At 40.3% G+C, this 4986-nt stretch overlaps 1 annotated feature.

Annotated features, from left to right (window-relative positions):
* Positions 808 to 1307: an enhancer, noted in NCBI's record as "H3K27ac hESC enhancer chr5:124747359-124747858 (GRCh37/hg19 assembly coordinates)". NCBI's record gives its function as "activates a minimal SCP1, AML or CMV promoter by ChIP-STARR-seq in primed H9 embryonic stem cells {active_cell/tissue: H9 hESC(primed)}" and the evidence as "EXISTENCE:reporter gene assay evidence [ECO:0000049][PMID:30033119]".

The following is a 4986-nucleotide window of genomic DNA, read 5'->3' as shown; positions in this document are numbered from 1 at the left end:
GGATCACAGGCATTGGAGCGGAGGCAGGCTGGCCGCTCGGCGCAGCCATCTGCTGGCTGCTGTTCCGGAGGCTGTCTGCCTGGAGGAGCCCTGACAGTCACGGGGCCTGCATGGCAATGAGCAGGTGAAACCGCAGGCCTGCCCTATTTAGCTGTACTCTGGTGATTTGTCTTTCTAATTCTATTGAAATAATCATCAGGATTTGTTTCTGATTAATTAACTAACCTTTTGGTAAAAAGATTAGATAACGAAATTGCTGCCTATTCAGAGATAATGAGATTTTTATTACTCTGTCAAAGGAAAAAAAGTACATTTATGTGTCACCAGCCGCTGTGTCAAGAGGAAAAAAAAAAAGAGAGATTTCAGTCTTTGTCGAATGTGTATATTCCTCAACAGACGAAGGGTGTGCTTAATTCTGTAGGAACTCCCCAGCCTCGTTTGACGCCTTTAGGAAGAGTTTTTAAAACAGCAAACAAAGTAATAAACACATTTAGGCCAATAGGCTTTTGGGGAGGGTGCTAATTTGTTTTAAAATGTCTCCTAATGGGAGAGAAACGCTTGGGAGTCTGGGGAACTTGCCTGTACTGTGTGGGTGTATTTATGTAAGTGTGAGAGTGTGAAGAAAGCAGTAAAATCTCCGTGCGAGGCTTTAAAATGACATATGTAGACAGGCTGCTTTTCCTCCGCACTACAGATATGTCTTCGACTTGCAGTACATTTGTCTTCTGGCAGGAGCTGCACTCGGGCAATGGGAAGGGGAAATCATCCGAGCTTAGCAGGCTGGGAGGTCACCTGTGACTGTCACAGGTAGGCTGCCTTAGGAAATGAATTATTCTGACTGGCGGTGAGTAAAAAGGGAAGCAGCCCTTCTCCTGTTTCACTCCAAGACACGCAGCCAGTCAATTTAACCTTTTCTCTTAAGAAGTCACAGCTCAATCCTTTGTTAAGGGGGACTTTCATTTTCTCACTCCTCTGTGCCTTCTTCAATGCTGTGATGCCAAGAAAAAAAAAAAAATACCAACCCCGGGAAAAGCGCTTCCCTTGGATAAAGAGATGCCAAATGCGCCAAATAGGCTGTGTGAGCCAGGCAGCATTGGAGGGAACAAAGCGCAGTATATTTCCAAATAAAACTTCAAAGAGCTACAATATTGTTTTAATTACTAAAACCTGAGGAGGAAACACAGTGCATGTCTCTTCCTTCAATGCAATGAAACGGAGGAGTGGGAGAAAGGGCCAAGTGGCAGGCTGGGACCCAGCTGAGCATTTTGTGAAAGTGTATTTGTGTCACTGTCTTTTCAGAGTCAATGAGACACTTATGTTTCTTGTGATATCCTGTGGCCTTGGCTGCCTCCGTTTGTGTGTGTATGAAAATGAAAAGATTTCAAGTTCTAAAAATGGAAGTTTCTATTCTGAATTTCGTATGGTTCACAGACAAGTTGCAACAGACCAAAGGAAAAAAAAAAAAGAAAGAATGTGCAGGGGATCAAATGTGAACATTCCAGAGCCCACTTTCCTGTCCTGCCTGGCGTTCCCACTCTCCTTCCCCTCTTTATTCCAGTTCCTCCTGCACCTCCAATTGCCAGCTAACAGGCTCCATTCCTGATAACAGATGCTTGACAAAGAAAGAGAAATAAGACATTAAAAAAGAGTAGACTGCTGCTGGGGGTGGGGATTTGATAGCACATTGCCAATGGCTTTTTACAGGAACTTGCTCTCCCTGGCTCACTACCAAGACAGGGAAAGAACAGGGCGGGGGAGGGAGCCTTTGTCCTCAAACTCCCAGTGAAATATAGGGTTAATATTAGCAATTATTATTAAAATTAGCCAAATGTTATTAAATGATCTTTGTATAGAAGAATAAGTATAGTTTTCCCTTTGGCAGACAATGACATCTGCAGCTCTACATTTTCATGAAATGACTATACTTAACAAAAACATTACTTCATTTTCATGGTATTTCTTTTGTGCCTAGGAGCAACCCTGTAATTGTTCACTTCAATTACAACATTACTATTTTAAACCGAAACCCATTTTATCTGCATGCCAGCTTTTTATTTGTTTTACCAACTATATCTATTTCCATTACTGCAAGGCTGATGGTTTGTCTCAAGAGGAAATCAAATCCATTAATTCAGAAATTTCAAGCCCGACTAGCTCTGCCATAAGCAGCATTTCTTATGCTAATAGCAAATGTGCTGAGACTGAAAGGAACTGACATGGCCCTGTTTTTTATCATAACTTAAGCATTTATGTAAGAAGGCAAATCTAATAGTAGTAGGAAACTGTAAGTGTTATTATATATAATTCACTTTCCTGAGATCTGGACAGGGCTCTGGTTTGTGTAGCCATGGTTTAAATCAGGCTGCCACAAGACTTTAACTCACCTGACTTTCCCTATTCAGCCAACATATTGCTTCACAACAGATACATCTAGCATGAAACTAGATTTGTGTGTTTGTGTGGATTTGTTTGTTTTATTCTCTACTGTTTTTTCCCCCTGCAAGACGGACTTTTGTCAATGCAGGGGGAAAAAAAATCATTTTGTATTCAGGGGATGTCTGAAACTTACGCGTGTAACAGCACTAGCCTGAGACAAACCTGGCTCCTTCTGTTTCATTTTTAATACACTCTGTTTGGGTCCTATCACATGGTTTGTGTTCAATTAGATAGCTTGACTCGATAAAATCTGACTCTGACCCAGAAAAAAAGGAGAGAGAGAGACTGCTCCTGACTCCTGCTTAAGCTTTTGCAGGCACTGTGACCTGTTTATGTCAATGGTAAAGTTTAAGAGATTCCTATCACAGAACCACATCATCTTCTGGGATCTTAAAAATACAGAAAGCACTCGAGGACCCTGGCCCTCCTTTGTCACTGCAAAGCCCTTCAGTGCTGTAAATCAGTCCTCATTGGGAGCTCTTATACACCAGCCGTCACCGATAAGCTTTGGAGAAGTAGACAAGGCTTTTAGGAATTGCTGAACCATGAAGTTGACCTGCTTAGGGTTTTGTTGTAGGCTATTAAATCCGGGATGGCCGTTTTAAGATGATTCCGCTTTCTTTTTCCCTTGGCCTGGTTAAGCAACTCTACCCCCACCTCATTATTTGACTGATTAAAAAAAAAAATCAGAATGGAGCAACCTGCTGTTTAAGAATACTACCTTCACACATCAATTTAATGAGAGTGACTTATGCTGACGTAGTTTACGGGCTCAAGCAACTTGACGCTAATTTTGCAGCTAAGAAAAGATTTACTAACTGTACATACTGCTCTGCTTTTGTTGGCAAGGGTACCACGATTCTTTTCTCCAAAAACAAACTCTAAATCTTTTGTAAACATGCATTATTTGGTTAACACATTGTAAATGGATCCCAGTTGTGCAGCACAAGCACTGTTCACTATTATGTAAACAATTATTCACTGAAAGCCTTGCTTTAAATTGTAAATGAATATATTTCAGCTGTAACATTGCTTTCAGACCTGCCCAGTGGTATAAATCTGGTCATTTGTTTTTTGCACTCTGCCTATTACTAACCGGTTAGAAATGTGCTGATTATTTGCACAAGCCTTTCACACTGCGGGCACAGTTAAATTGCTGTTTTATTTTTCCTGTGTTTGATGAGTGTTAACAGGAGCGCCATTTGAGGAAACCCAAACCAAATACAGCTCTTTAATTGGGGTTGGAGTGTTTGGGAAAAGCCACCCGGTGAGTAATTCCACTGTTTAATGTTTGAAAGTTCATCCACCTCACTATAGGACTTATGACAAGATTAATTAAAGGGAGTTAACAAAAATGCAGGGCTTTGCTCAGCCAACCAGAATAGCTTGAAATACGGCGCACTCACTTGCAGGGATGTAGATTATTTGGTGCAAGGTCTAATTCCCAACTCTCTCCTTTAAACTCCTGTCATTGCCAAATAGCTCCATTTTAAATTCAGTATCTCTTCAAGAAAGCACAATCTGGAGAAAAAAATATGACAGAGGTATCTCATTGGGCCCCTGTGACTTCCTTTGCTCACAGGGTACGCCCAGTGGCTGATGAAAGTTTCAGCTGACTCAGAAAGCCTTGTCTTTTTATTTCCCCCTAAACAGTCAATGATTCATTTTTAATGTTTCCCCACCTCTTGTGGTTTAATTGGGTTTCAGTAGTGTGCTGATCTGCAGAGCTTGGAAGACAGAAATAATGACCTTGGATGATCTCATTGGTGTGCACCAGAACAAGTGTAGTTTTATTGAGCTCTGTTGCTAGAACTGCAAAACTGTATGTTCATTAACTTAGACAGTGCTGACCTTAGATCAAGCCTAGGATAATGGGAAAAGCCCCAGATTCCAGCCCTGGATTTGCTCCTGACTTTGCACACTCATTTTACCTCTGTGAGTCTTGCCTGTGGCATAGCCGGGTTGGATGGCACCATCCTTATTGTTCCTTCTGAAACTGAAATTCTCAGATACCTGCAGTGCATAATTCTACCTGCTCTTTCACATCTATAAATAAATAAAAGAGGAAGACTCAGTGATCAAAAGATATGGTGTTTAATAGCTAAAAGGACGAGGCTTTTTATTTCCACATTGAACATTAGAAAGGGGATCTGCAGTTTTTTTTGTTACTGAAAATTCTGTAGAATTCAGGTAGAATAGGTATGCTTCCTTCTGTGGCTATTCTTTGCAACTTAAATGACTATACTATCCTTAAGTAAACCACACAAGAAATACTTTGTAGATCTACAATGGTTTGTAATTATATTATTTATAATTTGTTTAATATACTTTCCCTTATAGTGAACAGGACTCATGCTACCTTTTTCTTCCTAATAATCTACTTATTCAGATAGTCTATTTTGCATATTACATTCAATTTAGGTTGAAAGAATGAAAGTAATGTGCACATCAATAAATGGCTGTGAAAATTAAGATAGAAGACTTTTTTGTCTTCTCTGAAACTTTCTCTTTTCTAGATACTGATGCAAGTTATCACTAATGACAAATTGG

The sequence above is a fragment of the Homo sapiens genome, chromosome 5, assembly GCF_000001405.40.
Source record: "Homo sapiens chromosome 5, GRCh38.p14 Primary Assembly".
Classification (NCBI taxonomy): Eukaryota; Metazoa; Chordata; class Mammalia; order Primates; family Hominidae; genus Homo; species Homo sapiens.
Note: the sequence above shows the minus strand (reverse complement) of the source record. Positions and strands in the feature narration are given on the sequence as shown.